This window comes from Homo sapiens, chromosome 12, assembly GCF_000001405.40.
Source record: "Homo sapiens chromosome 12, GRCh38.p14 Primary Assembly".
In the NCBI taxonomy this organism is placed as follows: domain Eukaryota; kingdom Metazoa; phylum Chordata; class Mammalia; order Primates; family Hominidae; genus Homo; species Homo sapiens.
The window spans coordinates 108,119,663-108,139,635 of NC_000012.12; the positions used below are offsets into that span (position 1 = coordinate 108,119,663).

Here is a 19,973-nt window from a genome sequence, read left to right on the forward strand (position 1 = left end):
AAATTTTGAACTTATTTCCTCTTGTGATGGTGTATTGAATTTGCATCTTGCATCTGAAGAACTAGGGGCTGCCCCAGGCTGGGTTTGCCCCAGGCTGGGTTTGCCCCAGGGACACCAGGTAAAACAGAAGGGCAGGATCCCAGTGCCAATGCAATGGTCAGACAAGGATAAACTGGCTACGGGTCAGATGAGAGCGACAGGGTGTCTGCCAATATAAACAAGTTTCCCAGGTGAGAGATCTCCTGGTCGCAGGTCAGACAACTAGGCATTAGGTCATCTGCCAGGTAAAATAAGTATCTCATGAAAGGCACTGTGTAGACACCCATGTCCAGCTCCCCTTTGTTTCCCATGAGAGCAGGGCCACTAGCCAGTCTGCTACTGGAACCCTAGTTGAGCTGGGGGCTCTCAAAACACCCACCAAGACCAAGCAGAACAATTATCAGGGAAGGTTTCTGATTGGCCGGGCTTGAGTCATCATGTGCCAATTGCTGGACCAATCACTGTGGCCAGGGCAATGGAGTTCTAAGACTGGCCCAGCCAGGCTCAATGGCATCCCATCTACATCTACATTCAGGGATGACTTCCTCCAGACACATGTGTTGTAGTTCGGAGCAGCAGTTCCTACAAAGATGAGGTATGCTCTGCTGGGCAAATGAAACAACAAATGCACGAGAGGAGAGGAGGGGTTTTGAGCTCAAGAAAATGGTTGCTGTGATGTATTTCTTTGCACTAGACCATGGATACAAGGTAGTTGTGATGTATTTCTTTGCGCTAGACCATGGATACAAAACTGCCTTCTTTGATCATGTCAAAAGGTATAATGAGGGTAGTAAGATTCAACTGGCCACACCAGTTTCCGTCTGTACTCCCTGGCCCTGCTATATTAGTGAGGGTTCTAGAAACTAAGACATCCCAAAGGAAGGCAACATGTGAAACACAAGGCTGAGCAGGAGTTTGTTGGATGGAAAAATGGAAGGGAGGAAAGAGCAGTCCAAGGAGAGAAAACCACTCAAAGGCAAGGCAGTAAAGGAGTAGAGCATGGGAGGAGGCATGGAGAATCCGCCCTGGAGGGTGGAGGGGAGCTGTGGAAATGCAGCAGGAAGTGGATCTGAGGCCAGACGTCAAAAGGCCTTAGCACTGAGTGGAGGAGTTTGGGCTTTTAGCTGTGTGTGCTGGGAAGCCGCTTAGAGGTCTTAAGCAGGAGCGGGGTATAGCCAGAGCTGTGTCTGTCCTAAAAGATTGTTGCGGCTGGGTTTGGGGGATGGACAAGATGGTGAGAGGAGGCAGGGTGCCAAGGACAACGATGTCCCCATATGTCTTTAAAGAGCTCCTGCTTCAGAGGTGGGCGGTGGAACAGCAAGCTCCATTCTGGCTGCCTGAGTGTTGACTCCCTGTCTCTTTGCTCAGACCCTGGCTGGGTGAGGTCCGGATCTTAGCTGCACCAGTTCCCAGCACTGTGACACTGGGCAGGTGATCTAACTTTTCCCTGAGCCTCCGTCTTCCCATTTGGGGAATACCTGCCTTTCACGGCAGTAGTGAGATTGCAAGGCCAAAATGGATGTGAGGGCTCCGGATCAGTGGACCCTGGACCTACACAGAATAGGAGCTCAGTAAATGTTGCTGTTGTTATTAACGGGCTGTGGCTCGTAAGTGTATTCACATGGAAAAGGTTTGAACTGTGAAGTCCTGGGGGAAAAGTGACATTCAAAAGACGGAAGCTTCTTGGAGCAGTTCTGTAACCAGGTCAGGCTGACTCCTGCAAACTGCAAGGTAAAAATCATCCATCCAGCCCGTGAGCCCATGGCTCTCAGAGATCCCAGGAGGCTTGTGTGTCTAAACTGGAACGTGCCAGAAGAGGCTGCTTTCCAAGATCCTTTCTCTGGAGGCCAGGCTGGAGTCCCCTGAGAGAATGAGGGCATCGTGCTACATTTTAGACTGCAACTGGGATTGACCCATTTGCCAGCCGTGACAGCCATGTGTCCCAGTGGAAAATCCCCAGGGTGGAGCCAGAATAACCTAGGCCTGAAACCTGCACGTTCTGTGAGTTTGGGAAAGTCACTTCATCTCATGGGCCTCAGTTTTTCAATTTGCAAGATGGAAACAATACTGGCCATGGGGGTCTGTTGCAAGGATTAAATCAACAAATGCACGTGGCATGTGGCTGTGGCTCCAGGTGGGGGTCAGGAACCTGCATGTATTGAGTCCTTACAGTGTGTAAGGCCATTGCTAAGTGCTAGTGATACACAGACAAATTAGATATGGATCCTGCATTCAGGGGCAAGCTTGTGGTACAGCTAACTGAACAGATAACAAATGATGATAAAAGATAATCTCTGCTCAGTACTGTTTCTTTCAACAAGAGATGTGCCAATGTGTGCTGAATATGAGTTGTCCATGGAAGTAAAAATATACTTCAAGATAATATTCATGTCTTGGAGACTATGGCCCTACAGTTTATGGAATCATAGAAATACTGAAAGTAACCATCTACATATGATAAGTCTGTTCATTTTAATAGTAATGACAAAAATACTGTTATAGCATTTGACCTTCAAAACAACTCCACAGGTAGAGATTCTTGTCCCCATTCTACAGATGAGTAAACTGAAGCTCAGAGAAGTGAGATGGCCTGCCTAAGGTCACATAGGAAGAGCTGGGTCTAAGACTTGAACCCAGATCCAACATCTAATCCCTCACCTGTACCATGAAAATACACCACATGGAACATCTTCAGGAAGTACGTGGCAACCAACAGACACAGAGGAACTGGTCAGAAGAGTCTGTAAGTCCACAGATATTCATGGAGCATCTACTCTGCCAGGCTTGCTCTCTGAACAGGATGATTTCTGCCCTTGTGGAGTTTATAGTCCAGAGGGGAAGACAGCCATGCAATAAATAATTAACATGGATGCTCTTAAGAGATACTCTGCTCCCCACTCCATAACCAATTCACTGAATAAACTAATGCTCATATTCGCCTTCTGTAGAACATTTGGAGTGAACTCATGGTCTACTGAAGACAAGCAGGCAGGGCCATCCATGCCTAACCTGAGAATCCAAACCCACCAAAGAGCAGTCTTCTCCAGGCTTTTGCTAGGCTGGCTGAGACTTTCTCAGGGCTGTGCTGCAGTCCGAGGCTCTTTCTGCATAGCCTTCCTTCCTTCCTCCTCTCCCTTCCCAGGGGTCAGACCTGCATCACAGTCTGAAGGCACTGTCTGCTCTCTCTCTAACCTCCCTCTCTCTCTAGCCTCCACCTCCAATGAAAGTTTCCTCCAGTAAATCTTTTGTGCTCCTAATTCCACGTTGGTACCTGCTTTGCAGAGGACTGAGTGGATTGAGTGTCCTGCAGAAGTGAGGTTCACACCAAGGCCTGATGCCTCAGTAGCTGGGGCAAGTCATGGGGAGCAGTGCTTCTGGGGGAAGGAAGGGTAGGAGAGGGTGTGGCTGAGGACAGAATCAGTTCACAAATAAATAATTTAATAAATGATTTCACTCCTTTCTGGTGTTCACACTTGGGTGACCCATTGGAGCCTCAGTTTCCTCCCTTACAAAATAGTAAAAAACAATAATGCTATTACCTCTCTCCTAGGCTGTTGGATTAAATAAGGATTAAATAAAATAATTCCTGCTCAATGGCTCAGAGCCATGTGTATTCTGGCAAGCGTGTGGGAGGAACCACACGGCAGGATGGCAGGAGGTGGGGGCCTACCAGGAGCCCCTCGGGCATCCCAGGCTGCCTTACCTTTCCGTGGCCTCTGCAGTCTCTCAAAGAGCTCCCACGGCTCTTCTTGCAGAAGCCACACCCGAGGGAGGCATCTGTTCTCTCTGCCCACAAATATGGCCCCAGTGAAAGGGTCCACCTCACAGATATTTTTGCTGCAATATGTGGTGTCACTATGGCAGTTTGACCATTATCTGGGTCATTTGAGCCCGAGAATCTGCCAAATCAGATAATTTTGGTGGTTTGCCTGTCTCTCTGGATCACATGTCCTGAGTAATGGCCCTGGTCTCCACCTGGCCTGGTTCTACGTTGACAATCTTCTTTTCAGAAAGCCTGAAATGAAAGCTGGCTCTGGCTGGTATGTTCAAGGTCAAGGCTTAAGAGGAGACGCTAATTTAGAGTCCTACATTTACCCCCCTTATTATGTGGCTCCATCCAGGATGGTGCTTAGGCATCAGTAACTGATAAAGGTTAAAATACTGAAATTTGCAAATTTTTGCATTTAAAAAACACTTTTAACTGAAGTCTAACGTATGTACACAAGCGTACAAATAAGGGTACAGCTTGATGCATTTTTACAAAGAACACGTTCATGTAACCAGCACCCAGATTAATATTTCAGCCCCGGGAATCATCCCTGCCCCACTAGCCCCCTTCCAGTAACAACCTCCCACCCAAGTGTAACCACTCTTCTAGCAGCTTGGTTAGTTTTGCAATTTCTGAACTTACATAAATGGCAGCAGACCATGTGTGCTCCCCCAGGTCTGGCTTCCTTCATTTAACATTCAGTTTGTGACATTCATCCATATGATTGTATGGTAGCCATGCTTCATTCATTTGTACTGCTGTATAGTATTCCATGGAATACTATATTCCGATGGAAGTTTCCTCCAGTACACCTTCTGCACTTCTAATTCCACCTTGATGCCTGCTTTGCAGAGGACTGAACAGATCGAGCATGAATGAATTCAGCACTATTTACCCATTCTTCCACTGATGGATATTTGGCTCCAGTTTGGGGGTATTATAAATAGTCCATTCTAGGATGTGTATTTTTGTAAAAATATCTGCCCATTTGTGTTAAGTATCAAATTTTAAAAATCTTTTTAGAGATAGGGTCTGGCTGTGTTGCCTAAGCTGGAGTGCAGTGGCATGACCTTGGCTCGCTGCAGCCTCAACCTCCTAGGCTTAAGTGATCTTACCTCAGCCTTCTGAGTCCTGGGACCACAGGCACGCACCACTATGCCCAGCTAATTTTTGTATTTTTTTTTTTTTTATAGAGACAGGGTCTCACTTTGTTGCCCAAACTGAGTCAAATTTTTTGTTATTTAAAAGTTTGATTAGAAAAGGATGGCCTTATAGGATTATCATTCTTAATCTCTTTCAAAATAATATAAATACGTTTTGGATTGAGAGAAGGGGTGAAACCATGTTAGGACTCCTGAAGCTGCGCTTGTCCCCCTGCCTCTGGGATCTGTGTCCTAGCTTTCCCAGGTCTGCCATCTGACTGTCATTGATCCCCTGGAACAAGGTAAAGGTTTCTGGAGATTTTGTAGGAAGTGCATTAAAGTGGAAGTCCCATACAGTACCTCACCCAGGAGGACCCTCCATGCACATGGAGAATTTCATATGACCTCGGGCAACTTAATCTTGTTAGTCTCAGCGATTTCACCTGCAAAGAAAGGTTAGCAATGGATGATCTTCTGAGATGTTTCCAGCCCTCAAATGATTTGAGACTGATTTGCTGTTGACGATTCATAATTATGACAACAGTTATCTGTTGAGTGTTTATATTGCTTTAAACAATTTCTACAGATTATCTCATTTAATTCGTCAAGGAAATCACCTTGGAAGAATCGTAATGTTTAGGAAACTGAAGCTCAGAGAGGTTAAATCCCTTGCTCAAGGCACACAGCCAACAAACAAACTTCAGAATGGGGTAGAAATGAGGCCAGTTCCACTCTGGCATTGACTGTTAGCAGTGGCCCCATTCTTCTTTCTTTAATTAAATATTTCAGGCATAGAAAAACGTGCAAAAAATAACAGAACAAGCTTCTATGAAACAGAACATGAAAAACACACTTAAATCTCTTTGCAAACCCTCCCAAACCACTTTCTTCCCAGCTGTGGTAACCTCTCTCCTGAATTTGGTGTTCATCATTCCATCATGTTTTTATGATTTTACTATATATATATATATATATATACATATATATATGCATAAAAATATACTGAATTGCTTTTCAGGTTTTTGCATGTTAGTAAATAGTAAAATTCTATATGTGTCCTGTGGCAACTCGCTTTTTTCCCCCACTCAACACTATAGTATTTTAGATTTATCTGTGATGATACATAGAGTTCTAGCTCATTAATTTTCACTGCTGCATGGTACTCTCCTTTAAGAATATACTGGAATTGATCCATCCATTCTCTTGTTGATAAGCATTTAGATTCCTTCCAGTTTTCCACCATTAAAAAGTGCTGCAATATATATTCTTCTACATTTGTATACTGAAATTCTGATGGATGAACTCTCTTGATCATACCAGGGCCTCTGGTCTGAATATGTGTGTCCTTCCAAAATGCATATGTTGAACCAAGCCTCCAAGGTGATGGTGTTAGGAGCTGGGGCCTTTGGGGGGTGATTAGAGTAGGAGGGTGGAACCCTCATGATTGAGATGAGTGCCCATATAAAGGAGTCTCCAAAGAGCTAGCTAGCCATTTCTACCATGTGAGGGCACGGTGAGAAGGTACCATCTATAAACCAGCAAAAAGCAGCCCCTTAGCAGACACCAAATCTGCTAGTGCCATGACCTTGGACTTCTCAGCCTCCAGAACTATGAGAAATAAACTTCTATTTTTTATAAGCCATCCAGTTTACCATATTTTGTTATAGCAGCCCAAACAGACTAAGATACCAGGTTTTCTTCTAATTTCTATATATCTATGATAATATTGGACAGTTTTCTTCATTCATCAACTTTTTTCTGAGCACCTACTATGTGCCAAGCCCTGTGTCGGGTGCTAGGAACAGAGAAGTGGTTACAAGACACAGCTCTTGATCTCCAGGAGTGCTTGGGAGACCAAGCATCAACCTCTGTCAGATGGGCTGGGGGGATGCTGGGAGCTCACAGTAGGGCTCTAAATGGAGTGGCCAGGGAGCAAAGAGATGCCATGGATGATGGAGAAACACAGGGCTGTGGAGGTTATGACCAGCCTATCTTGGACACTGCACCCAAGCTCCTTGAATTCAAAGACCTCTTTCAGTGTATATCTGCCCCAGGACAAAGTCACAGTGACCCCTTGCAACTCCCTCTTCCCAACCTCATTCTCCCTTTCACATATTAATAGTAATGTGAGTTAGTTGTTTTTTGCCTGAAAAAAAAATCTGTGACAACTACACACACTTGAATTCCAGGGCTAGAATTCTCTCCAGCGCCCTGAATAAATGACATCCACACTTTGCCTTGGATATATACTGTCCATCTGGAATCATTATAATAACAGGTCATGGCTTGTGTGCATAATACATGTATGGTCGACACTATGGTAAACTGTCTGTATGAGCCTATCACTTAATCTGCACAAAATGCTTATAAAGTTAGAAATACTATTCTTTCAATTTTGTAGAAGATAAGGCCCAGAGAGGTTAATTAACTTACCCAACGTCACCCAGCTAGGAGATGGCAGAGCTGGGGCTCCATTCCAGGTCTGGCTGACTCCAGATTCCTTCATCTCAACCCTTTGAGCTCTGTCAGGATATGCCTGACATTTCTGAAGGCAAGTCCCCTTCTTTCCACAATAGAGCAATACCATCTAAGGGAAGTTACTTACCGCCTGACACAGCCCACTCACTACTCGCACATTCTCTCCACTTGCTCCAGCTACTGAGGAAATTAGAGCAAATCCTATTTTTAGACACTGTGGTTCAAATGACAGTGATGTATGGGGTAGTGACTCGTTTTATGAACATAGTTCGGAGGTGTCGGCGGATCTTACTGCTCGGAAACTCTCTTACATCACCCTGTTTTGCTCTTTATAATTTATTTCAAAGATCGCTTTGTTTCTTCTCCCTCCTCCGTGAGTCCTGCAACAGACTTCAGCCAGAAACAATAAAATTCTGAGCTGAAATAAAAGGCAATGAGAGAGGATGAGGCTTCTCTCAGAAACCTGAAACACAAATCATGTCAGGGATACATAGGGGTGGAGCACAAGCCCTTAGCAAAAATTAGAGTGTGCTCAATGGTTAGGACTAGAAAAAACAGACTTCATCCCTTCTTAGCAAAATTGATTGTGTGTGTGTTTTAGATGAAAATCCTAACTTTACTGCTTATTTTTTTATGGCTAATTATAATCTGCTAGTTTTGAAGGCCAGCAAGAGGGCTAAACAATGCTTGTGCAGAGCCCTGGCAACCTCAAGACAGGTAGGGATAAAGAGGAAGAACCGAAGAGGAGGGAGGGAGATGATTGACAGGAAGTGTACGGAACAAATGTGGAGGGCTTAACATGTGCTGCTGGGAACACCCACCCACTTTAATCAGTTTCATTCTCTTGTCAACATTAGAAGAAATCTTTAGTCCTATTTTACCGATTGGGCAACCAAGGCCAGAGAGGCTAAGTCATTTACTTTAGGACATACAGCTGGTAATTATGGAGTTAGGATTGCAAGATGCAGCAAAATAAAATAAAGGACATCCAATTATATTTGGGTTCTGAGTAAACAATGTAAAAAAAATAGTGAAAGTATATCCCATGTAAAATTTCAGACTTATACTAAAAATTTAACTGGGCATCCTGTATTTTACCTGGCAACTGTTGAGGAGATTCAAATTCAGTTCTCTTTGTTATTTCCCAGACACCCCTTACTATGGGACATATATAATACTGTAGAATATGTGATCAGTACCAGCAGATACTGGTTGAGTTCAGGCCTCAAGCTTTATATCTGCCATTTTGCTTGAAACCCTTTAATCCTTATATCACCTATCCAGTAGGTATTATCATTGTTCCCATTTTATGGATGAGGAAACTGAGGCTCCTTAAGATGAAATAACTTGGTCACGGTGACACAACCAGAAAGTACTAGAGCCCATGCTTGAACCCAGTTCTGTTTTGCTCAAGAATGGTCTCTCAAAAAAAAAAAAAAAAAAGAAACACAAAAAAACAAAAAACAGTTAAGATTTAACCCATGTACAGAAAAGCACTTGATATGTAAATGTACAGTACAACGACTTGTCACAAACACCTGTGCAGCCACCAGCCAGATCAAGAAAGAAAAGATGTCCAGCTCCCGTTAGATGCCCTGCCCCGTCATGAGAAGGGCTCTTCTGCCAGAGCTTCTCTGGGAATTCTTTGACTACGGGCATTACTGTCCCCATTTTACAGATGGGGACACAAAGGTTCAGAGAGGTGCTGTGACTTGCCCAAGGTCACAGAGATTGGAAAGCAACAGGCTCAGAGAGGGCGAGTGATCACCCAGAGGTTACACAGCTAAAACTTACCACCTGTTAAAACTACAAACTAAATACCAAAAACCGAAACTGCGCTTTATTGGGTGTTTACTATTTGTGAGGCACCGTGCTAAGCTTCTTGGTCGACAACAGTAGCAGCAGCAGCAAGCACTCTGCCATTTGGGGTGCATACTCCCCATGTCAGGCAGCTTGGCACTTTGCGTAATCCGCTCAGTGAATTTTTCCAGCGACCCTATGGTTTGGGCTTGGGTCTCGAACCCATTTTACAGAAGAGGACACTGAGGCCGGAAGGCTGAGGCCCCTGCCCGATATGCTCAGCCGGCCTGGCACCGGCTATGCCCGGCTCCCCGGGAGGCTGCGGGAGGGCCAGGTGGCATGCAAGGAGTTAAGCGGTAGGCAGTGCTGTGGCTCCGTGCGAGGAGCGCGCCGGGCTGAGGCGCGCTGCTGGTGGCGGCGGCGGCAGCGGCGCGGGAGCTAGGGCTGGAGACGTGAAGTCCAGGGGAGCGAGCAAGGCAGCCAAGGAGGCAGCGGCGAGGCAGCGAGAGAGAGCCAGGCGGCCGGAGCTCCGCGCCGAGCCGCAGCCGGTGCCCTGCGCGCACCGGGCCCGGGCATCTCCATCCCCGGGGCGGGTGCCCGCGCGGGGCCTCGCCGCGGCTCGGGGCACCCGCAGTGCCGCCCGCCCGAGCGCCAGGCTCACAGGAGCCCGGCTTTCACTTCCTCTCGCTTCCGCCCGCCTCCCTGGCTCGCCGGCTGGCGTCGCCACCGCCTCCTCGTCCCCGGCCACCGCTGTCGCCGCTGCTGCAATTCAAGGCGCACACTATCCCACTTTCCCGCTGGAGGCGCAGAGGATGCCCCTTGAGCCAGACCTGGAGAAATAGCCCCAGGGCCCGGCAGGAGGAGCCTTGGTGGCGAGAAAGGAAATCCAGGCTCCCCTTTCCTTAAAGCCACTGCAGCAGCTGGGAAGGCGCCCACAGAGCGGGCGCGCCAAGCGGGACGCGGGAGTCGCAGAGAGGGACCCCGGGCGCCTGCTGAGCTCAGCTGGCAGAGTTTGCAAGTGGCGGAGACCCTTCAGGTAAGGACTCAGGTGCCTGGACCTGGGAAGAGGGCTCCAGGAGGGAGCCGGGCGCGGAGCTGGTGCGAAATGTCTTCTGCCCCTAGATCTGGGCTTCGCTTTCCAGACGCTTCCCCGCAGGTTGGGGGCTCGTCGTCCAGAGCCCGGCGAGTGAGGAACCCAGAGTGGTGACAGCCCAGCTCTGCGTAGATGACAAACTTTCTCTCCTCTGGCAGAGGGTGGGACATTCCGGCTCATCCAGGCATCCTTCCTCTGGGCATTCCTGTGCCCCCTACAGGCATGCATTCAAGGGCTTCTCCCGCGGAGGTGGGCCAGCGGGGAGGCAGTGGGCCCCGTAAATTTGATTTATGAATCACCCTCTTTCTGGCCAGTGCAGAGTTCCAAGGGAGAGGGAGCTAGTCATATTTCCAAGTTGGCTGTAGAAGATGTTTCTTGGGGGTGATACTCTGGTGAATAAGGCTGCCTGTCATCTGATGCCAACAGCCAGAGCTGCCCAGGCAATGGGCTTTGTGTAGGGTGCCTTGCAGATTTGCTTATGTCCATTCTGGGGTGTGTGTGTGTGTGTGTGTGTGTGTGTGTGTGTGTGTGTGTGTGTAAAGAGAGAGAGGGAACTAGAGACTAGGGGACCAACTCAGCCAAATCGCCTCCTTGCAAGCCTTTCCAGCAGCCCCAGGTATCTTGGAAAGAGCCAACTCACCTCCTTGGCAGAACCACTAGGAAGGGTGGAGGTCACTTCCTAATTCTTACAGCTTCAAAGGGGCTGCTCCTTAGGTGAGCAAAAAAATAGGGGAAGTTTCCTGGCTGCTCAATGAGACCATTCCTATTGGAGCCTGGGGAGGTGCAAACTTTTTGCAGAAAAGGGGCTGGAAGGGCCACGTGGAGAGGGCCTCCTGACATTCTCATCCCCACACTCTAGGCCCCTAGAGGCTCTGCTGAGCCCCATGCACAGCTCATAAGTTTGGCTAGATGATTTTTTCTATTAGTAAAAAGCATGCTCCAAGGAGATCACCTGGTCTCTGAGGATCATTTTAGAGCCGCCCCTGTGGTCACAGCCCCATAGATGGCATGGTGCTACCTACTTGGGCTGGGCATCTGCCTCTGCGGAGTAGCATTGCTGTGTTGTTTTTAAGACAGTTCTTGGGGTGTGAGGTGGGATTCCGATCTCAGGCCAAGTTAGAGCTGCGTCCCTAGGCTGCCAAAACCCAAGAATTCCTCCAGGGCGTCAGAATCTGGTGCTTGATGTCCTGGAAAAAGCCCTGGGTCTGGGTCAGGAGATTGAGCTTCAAGTTGGCTCTCATTTGCTGTGTGACTTTGGGCAAATCACTAGACCTCTCTGGGCTTCAGTTGCTGCTTCTCAAAAATGAAGAGATTTCATGTATCCTCAGAGGTCCCAGTTCAGTTGAGACACTCTATGGCCCTGAGTGATTGTCACTGATGAGATTTTTGTAATCCCAGGAGGGGATCTTAATTTAGAATTTAAGAGACCTAGGTCTCAGATCAGATCTAAGTTTGACCAGTGACTTCCCTCTCCACGCTTCGGCTCCTCCACTGTAGGATGGGAAGTTCACAGTTCCTACTTTACAGGGCTGAGAGGACTAACTGAGATGGTGCCTGGAGGGTGCTGAGTGTAGAGTTTAGCAAAGAGTGAAGCTCAACGGTGCCAAGGCTACCTGCTTTTGGGTCTTGTGTGGGGCATCTATCTGGGTGCTGTTTTCCCCAGGGAGGCTGGCCCTGTCCCACCAAGCACCAGGTGATCCTTGACTACATGGCAGGGCCCTTGTTCTCTCCAATCACCTGACACTGCAGTCCCCGCCCTCTCTCTGCTTTCTCATAAAATCTCTGCTGGACCAGCCACTCCTAGTGGGGAGCCCAGGGTGGTCTGGGAGTGCTGCATGCACCCAGCTGCTGTATCACCAGGACATCAGGAGGTGGAGGTAGGCAGTCTCCATGGCTTCAACTTCGCAGCTGTCTAGGGACCAGGGCAGAGAAGTTCAGAATGTCTGCGTGTAGGGCACTCAGCTGACGCTTGAGAACTACCCCATGCTGGGCAGACAAGGCTACTGTTCTTGGCAGGAAAAGTCAAGCTGGGGAAAGAAGTGTCTTACAGCATTGTGTGTGTGTGTGTACGCATGTGTGTGTGTGTGCCTGCGTATGCACACATGGGGGAATGATGAAATTGTCAGGGAATGCAGTGGACTGGTCAGTGTGATTTTTTTCTGCGTGGTTCTGAGGCTTGTGGGTTGCCCCGGGTTTATGCTGAAACCATCAGTGGGGAAGGCAGACCCCATCCCAGTGACATGGAGTGAATTCATGGGGAACAGGAGCAATTCCACTGTGTGCTTGCTTGGACTTGACTTTTAAGACTCTGAAAAAACGAACAATTTGCTTTCATGGTAGAGTAAGGTGTGTGTGTGGACACGTGTGTGAATGTGTGCATATGTGTGCATTCTCATGCAGGTGTGGGCTCATGTGCTTGTGTGAGCATAACTTACATGAGAACCATAAGTGTGTGCACTCATGAGATAGTGTCAGTGTGAGTGTGTACTTGGTGTCTGATGGATTTATGAGTGTGAGCGTGCATGTCTATGGATTTGTGAGTGTGCGTGTGCATGCCTGCAAGAGAATTGGTGCATTTGTGAATCGGTGCAAGGGTGGGTATGTATATACACTTGTGAATGTTACGCAGTTGTATATATGTGAGTCATGTGTGTCTGGGCTAAGCAGGTGTATGCCTGCACAGATCCACGTGTGTGCTCTAGGGGATCTGTGCAGAAATATCCGTGTTTAAGAAGCTATACTCTCTGCCTGGTGCATGTTTTCATAGCTGTGTGTGTTATTTGCATGTGTATGTGGGCATTTCTCAGTGCCTGCATACATGTGCATACAGCCATGTGAGTGTGAGTTTGTGCTATGCACTTACAGGCATTATGTATCTGCATGTTTTTTAATGTACCTTTGTGTGTGCCTCTATGTGCATATGTGTGTGTAGCATTGCACACCTGATTGTCTCTGTATGTGTGTGCATCTGTTTGTTCTGGTGTAATCTCTGTGAATGTCTCTGTGTAAACGTGTGTTTCTGAACGTGTGTATCCGTGAATGTTAGCATGTGCATTTGATTGTGTCTGTGTATACATGTGTGTTTCTGTGGGTGTGTGACTGTGTGTATTGCAGTGTGAACTTTTTGTGGATCTCTCGACATATACACAGGTGTTTCTGAGTGTATGTGCCTCTGTGTAGCATTGCACACTTGAGCGTATCTCTGTGTGTATGTGTGTGTTTGTGAGTGTCAGTATCTGGGTGTGTCAGTTGCAGCGTACATTTGAGTGTGTCTGTGTGCACGTGAGTGTCTCTGAAGGTGTATTTCTGTGTGTTCCAGTGTAACTTTTGTCTCACGTATGAGTGAATTTCTGAGTGGTGTTGTACTGTATCTTTTTGCACATCTCTGGGCGTACATGTGTGTTTTTCTGAGCGTGTTTGCCTGTTTGTACAGCAGTGTAACTTTTGTGCATGTCTGTGTGTATGTGTGTGCTTCTAAGCATGCACATCTCTGAGGGTGTGTCTGAGTGTCTCTAGGGGTATAAACAAGTGTGTGGGTGGAGGGGTGTGAACATACCTGTGAGCTTCCAAACAGAAACCATCTCTGAACATTTAAGATCACTCTTCTCCCTGCTCCTCAGGACTGAACTGTGCTTGTGCCGTGCACCTTCCGAGTGTTGATTCAGCAGTTGGTGCCAGCTCTGAGCAGAGTGTTGGATGATGCGTGCTCATTTTTCCAAGTGCCTTTGCCTTGCAGTGCTCCAAAGCCCGGTGTATCCCCCTGCCCCCGCCTCCCTCACCTTCTGTAACAGCCCAAATCTGTCTTGCCAGAAGCTTCTACTTAGGACGGCTGCTGAACAAACTCGCAGATGTTAAAAGCACAGGTATAATTTTAGGCAGAAGGTCTGAAAATAGGCAGCCTAGGATGTGCTGAACATCTCGACAGCAGTGTTTCTAATTAGGAGCAACTTGTTTTCCTTAAATAAACAAATCAAGTGAGGAAAGAAATTGCCCGAGATTAATGGCTCCCTGGAGCAGGTCCAGATGTTGGGAAGATAGGGACTGTGGTGGGGTATGGGTGGGTCTCTGGTTCCCCACGGACTGCAAGTGTTGCTGCTTAGGGGCCTTCTAGACTTTGCCCAAGAGCTGATGAGGCAGAACCTTGAGGTCAGGAGCTGGTGAGGAGGGCAGGACTGGGCCACTGTGGGGCCCCTTTTCAAGGTCCGCCAGTGCCTGGTTATTGGGATGGGTGCATCACTGTTCCCATTTCCTCCCTCCTCCCTGTATCCATGCCCTTAGCCATAAGACGTCACTGCTCTTCTCATTCAAGGAGCAGGCAAAACTTATGCCCCTGCCCCCTCCCTTTGGGGTTCGGCCATGTGACCAGGTTTGGCCATTAGAGTGAAGTGGAAGAGATAGTGTACCCATTCCAAGCTTAGGCCTTAGGGAACCTTGTGTGTTTCTGCCATGGCTAGGTGGAGAGCTGCCTTCTCAGCCTGGCCCTAGAATGGGCACATGTTAAGCCCAGACCTTGGTGAAGGGATGAGTCCAGCCAGTTTCCAGCTGGTCACAAGCAGATCGGCAAAATAAATGCCCCTCACAGGTATCTCACTGGGGTTTTCTGGTTGTTTGTTACACACCACTGTCATGGTCATAGCTAACTGATGCAGTTACCAGTAAGTCATCTTTATTTCCTTCTCCTGTTTGACCCTGGTACCTATTCAGAGGTGCATAATGAACACCTGTACTTTTCACTGTTGGTGTCCCATTCGTACCTTGCTTTCTGTCCATCCTAATATCAACACTAATAATGATAAGTACCATATACAAAGTGTTTACCAGGTGCACACACTATGCCAGGAGCTTTGTATTCATCTAGTCTTCTGTCAGAGAGATGAATGACTTGCCCAGGTGACACAGCTCAGAAGCCAGGCTTTCTGGGATTTGCACACAGATCACCTGATGTCAGAGACCGTGTTTTTAACCATGATGTCATATTGCCTCCCAGTGCCAGCAGGCATGTTTTATGTAACTGATGTCATAGCATACATTTGACATTTCCCCCCTTCACTCACCTGGAGGTTTGGTTCGCGGAAGTGAATCATGTCACAGAAGTGGGAATTGTCTATTTGAATGTGGTGAGATTTCTTCAGCCATCCATCCTTCCATCCGTCCGTCCATCCGTCCATCCATCCATCCATCCATCCTTCCATGCATCCATTCAAGTATTCATTCAGCATCAGTATTTGCTGATATTCAGTGTTTGCTCAGAATCTTCTCAGCATCATACTCTGTGCTGGGCACTGAAGATACAGAAATGAGAGACCCCAGCTCTGTCTTCAATGAGCTTACAATCTGAGGTAGAAGTAGGAGAACCTGGGTTATGGAGGCAGATGAAGCTGGGTTCCAGTCCAGACTTTACCCTTTACTGGAAGGAACTTCAGCCTCACCTCACTGGATTGTTGTAAGGATCAAACAAAGTAATTTGGCAAAGTCCTTCACACAGTGCCTTTCATGCTGGAAGCCATAATAAACAATAACTCCTCTTCCTCCTATTCTTTCTCCTCCTCCTCCTTATGGTGGAGACGGTTGAATGTCACTACCAGAGCAATGCAGAGATAAGAGAAAGTAGGGGCCTCCAGATCCCAGATAGGGTGACCAATCATCCTGACTGTCTGAAACTGAGATGTTTCTTTAGGATACTGGACTTTCAGTGCGAAAACTGGAAGAGTCCCACACAAACCAGGACAAATTGGTTACTCTCATCCCAGAGGAAATATTGGACCCAGCTTGGAATGGTCTAGAATAGAGGCCAACAAACTATGGCCCACAAGCCAAATCTGGCCCACTGCCTGTTTTTGTAAATAAAGTTTTATTGCAACTCAGCTAAGCCCATTCATTGGCTATTGTCTATGGCTGCTGTCAAGCTACAACAGGAATGTTGAGTATTTGTGACAGAGATCACATGGCCTGCAAAGCCTAAAACACTTACTATCTGGCCCTTTACAGAAAAAACTTGCTGACCCATGAGCTAAAAATCTCAGCCAGGGTCCTGAGCTTTGGACTAGGATGACCAAGGCAAAAATCTGATGGATTCGGCTGTATCATTGTGAGTCAGGTGACATATGGGGTTTGCATTCATCCACAGGTGAGGCATCTGAAGGGTCAGAAGAGGTGCAGTAACTCCAGAGACTGTGAGCTGGAGAATTCTTAGATGGAGAGATGGAGACCCAGAAAGGGAGAGAGACAACCCAAGGCCACATAGACAGTAGGAGGCAGGTGACAATGGTCCTGGGGGAAGAGTTTCTGAGTGGGAAGTGAAGAGGTCTGAATCCCAGCTCTGCGCCAACTGACTTAGTGGCCTTTAGCAAGTCCCATCTATAGAATGGGAGAGAAGTTACATATGATCACGAAGGACTTCTCCAGTGCAGCTTTTTATGGTTCCATTTTCTTTTCTAATTGGAGTAGCACTAAAGCCTTAATATATGTTGGCCTGTGCTCCAAGGTGGCCCTGCAGGACCCTGACCTGGGGACCTTCCTGATCACCGTAGCTTGTGTATGCAGGGTGTTTACAGTGCCTGGCATTGTAATCAGACTTCACTTCCATTCTCTCACTGAATCCTTGTGACAGTCCTGTGAGTTAAGGGACCCCAGTCTCCACTTGACCCATGTGGACACTGAGGCTCAGAGAGATTCATTCACTTATCTAAAGTCACAGAGCCAGCGCATGGCAGAGCCCACGTCTCTCTGACCTCAAAGCCCGTGTTCTCAGCTACTCCTCCCGCTGCCTCCCCGCTCTGTCTTTCCCAGGTGGGGGTGATGCACGGTTTCAGGAACTCCTCGGAGGAAGCTTTCCCTTTTCTCTCCCTCTCATTTGTTAACCTGGAAATGGCATGCACCAGGCCAGGTCCATCCCCACAGGCCTGAGGATAGTAAACATGGGTTTATCAGTGAGGCTGAGGCTGGGCAGGCTTGGGTGACTGAATGGCTGGAGGGTCCCCTGCTAGGACAGTTAAAGGCAGACTACTCAACAGGACTGGGGGCTGAGCATGCTGGGCTCTGGATTTGCAGGTTCATAGAAAGCCCCTAAGCCTCCAGAGACAGTGGATCACCCACATTTCTTCCCCACTTGGCTAAGATGGCCCTGATTTCTGCCTCTAGAATATCTGTTTACACTCCAGTGTCCTGGGCTCTTTGCATTTTGAAAGCCTCCCTGGTGGGACAGGTAGAAAAGCTAGAATCTCTGGAACAATTAGATTAGTTTTAATTTTCACATAGCTCTTAGGTGTATCACCATCATAACTGCATGCCATTTACCCTGGGAACTCAACTCTCTGTAAAACACAATAAGAAAGTAGTCTGATTTAATTACTCCAGTGCCCATATCAGAAAAGAGCCAGCATTCCCTCACTCAGGGCCTGTTTACTCTTTCTCTGCACACCATTGTGATGAGCTCAGTGACCTGATTTCCCAGGCCCTATAGCACATAGAGGAAGCAAGTGATGAGACTGTAGAATGGTAGAGAGTGCACAGTGACAGCAGGCAGAAGCAACAGCTGACAGCCTGGGAACAAGGGTGAAGATGAAGAGATTACAAAACTACGAAGCATGGAAATAAAAGAATGACAGCTTGGGGGAATTTAGTGTAGTGGTCCAACAACCTCATCCCGTAACTTCTGTCCAGCTGAATGTTATAGGACACTGAAATGGCCAGCCTCTGTGCTGGCCCCAAGAAATAGTTAAATCCTATTTAATAGGCAGGAGCAAGGGCAAGGAATAATTCATTGAATACAGTATTTGATCCCATGGCTAAACTAATAAATGTTTCTGTGTAGGTAGCCTCTGGTGTCTGAAAAATTCACGTACGTGGAACTCTTCATTTTTCACAATGTTGGATAAGTGACATCTAACTGTACCTAGACAGTGTCTGGTGTGTGATAGGTGCTCAAGAAATGAATATTCTTTGAAATCAGGCAAGTCTAGGTTCAGATCTTAGCCACTTAACAGCAGCCAATGGCTCCCTCTCAGCCTCAGTGGCATCCGCTATACACTGAGGACAGCTGTACATGAGCTACAACTGCTGCAGAAACCCAAAGCACCTTCTTGTCTGTGCATGGTAGAAGGAACAGCACCACAGCCTGTCTCATGACATTTGCTTTCAACTTCTATATCTCATGTGGGAGGTGGGCACATGCAGAAACCAGGCTGGAGAGGACTCTGAGAAGTGAGGTTCTATCGTTTGATGGCCAGCATGCGGGAAGACCCACCACTGGGACAGGACATTGGATGGAGTTGGGTGAGCCAGCCTGCCATAGATGCCCCGGCCTCAAAAAAATACGATGGCATCTTCATACATGTCCAGTAGCTGGGTAAAAAGATGCCCCATTTAACTCTGTTGTGCCTTAGGAGTGAGGGCTAAGAACTTGGGCTTTGGGATTGAACAGGTTCACTTCCGATCCCAGCTCGGTAGCTTATAGGCTGTGTAATCTTGAGCAGGTTGCATGAGCTTATGGTGCCTCCATGTCCTCGTCTGTAAAATGGCAATAATACCTACCTCATAGGGTTCTTACAGGGATTCAATGAGATCATGCTTATGTAGAGTAAGTACTCAACAATGGTCATCTTAGCCAGAAGATAAGTCATTTTCTCCAATGGGCATAACTAAGATTCTTCCTAGCACTAATGTGTCTGTGGGCATCTGTTCAGGACTCATGATGAATCAGTCATTTTCTGCCTCTTCACACCATCTGGGGCATCTCCAATAAGTTTTCTCTTTGAACTTCAGCTTCCTCTGCCATGAATGTTATTTAGTGATTTGCTTGATTCATAAACATATTTGTGCATCCATTCATTTATTTAACACTCCTTTATTAGGCACCTATTTCATTTCAGAGCTGCCAGGTCCTGTGCTGGGCCCTGGGAGATGAGCCCAACTTGATAGACCTGGGTAGCAATGCCCCCTGGGAGGACAGAGGAGACACCTGGGTAATTGTCCTGGGAGGGCAGCAGGCTTCATGTTCACAGCTGTGCCTCTGCACCAAGGTGGGACTGGTGCATAGTAGACGCTCAATGTTTGTTGAGAGAATGAATGAATGAGTGTTCTGTGCTTAGCACCATCAGATGGGTGGATCCTATTGCTATCTGAGCCCCAGAATTCTTGAGTCCCAGACTGAGAAGAGCAGCCTCAGCTTACCACCTTAGGAAAGAAAATAATGAAGGTGTGAGTTCCTGGATCATTCCTTAGGCATTGGAGGTCTATCTCCAAATAAAATTTGATAGTTGCATGGGATGGAATTAATTGGGGGAAACATACTTTCAAACAAGAGAGAATTTATGGCTGAATGACTTGTAGTAATTCTAGGAGGTGTTCTTCTTCTTGTTTCCATTTTTATGGAAGACTCCCTCACCAGCCCTTGTGAACTGGGGACTTGGAACAGACCCAATGCCTGCACCTAGGAAGAGTTTTCCCAGCTCAGGTTCAGGTGGGGAGGAGATTAGGGTCCAGAGTAGTACATGCTGCAAAGTGAGCGAATTCGAAGCTGTGTAGTTTTGGAGTCACCAACATGGGCTGTAGACTGAAACTGCTTGGCTTCACAGCCCAGATCAGCCACTTGCACACTCTCTAACTTTGGACAAGTGTCTTAACCCCTGTGCCTCAGTTTCTCATCTGTAAA

At 47.4% G+C, this 19,973-nt stretch overlaps 1 protein-coding gene across 13 annotated transcripts in view, besides 1 other annotated feature; it reads left to right on the forward strand.

Moving 5' to 3' along the window:
• WSCD2 (WSC domain containing 2) overlaps nt 9,626-19,973 on the forward strand; it is a 121,250-nt gene continuing 110,902 nt past the window's right edge. For 7 of the 13 annotated variants that reach the window (XM_017020244.2, XM_017020243.2, XM_017020248.2 and 4 more), the window contains exon 1: nt 9,626-10,264. The gene's annotated coding sequence lies outside the window, so the exon portion shown is untranslated. Of the gene's footprint in view, nt 10,265-12,123; nt 12,199-19,973 lie in introns of those variants that run through there. The other 6 variants (XM_017020245.2, NM_001304447.2, XM_017020251.3 and 3 more) reach the window with 1 other exon arrangement.
• Nucleotides 9,847-9,936: a silencer, noted in NCBI's record as "silent region_4825". NCBI's record gives its function as "represses an Ori minimal core promoter by ATAC-STARR-seq in GM12878 lymphoblastoid cells {active_cell/tissue: GM12878}" and the evidence as "EXISTENCE:reporter gene assay evidence [ECO:0000049][PMID:35858748]".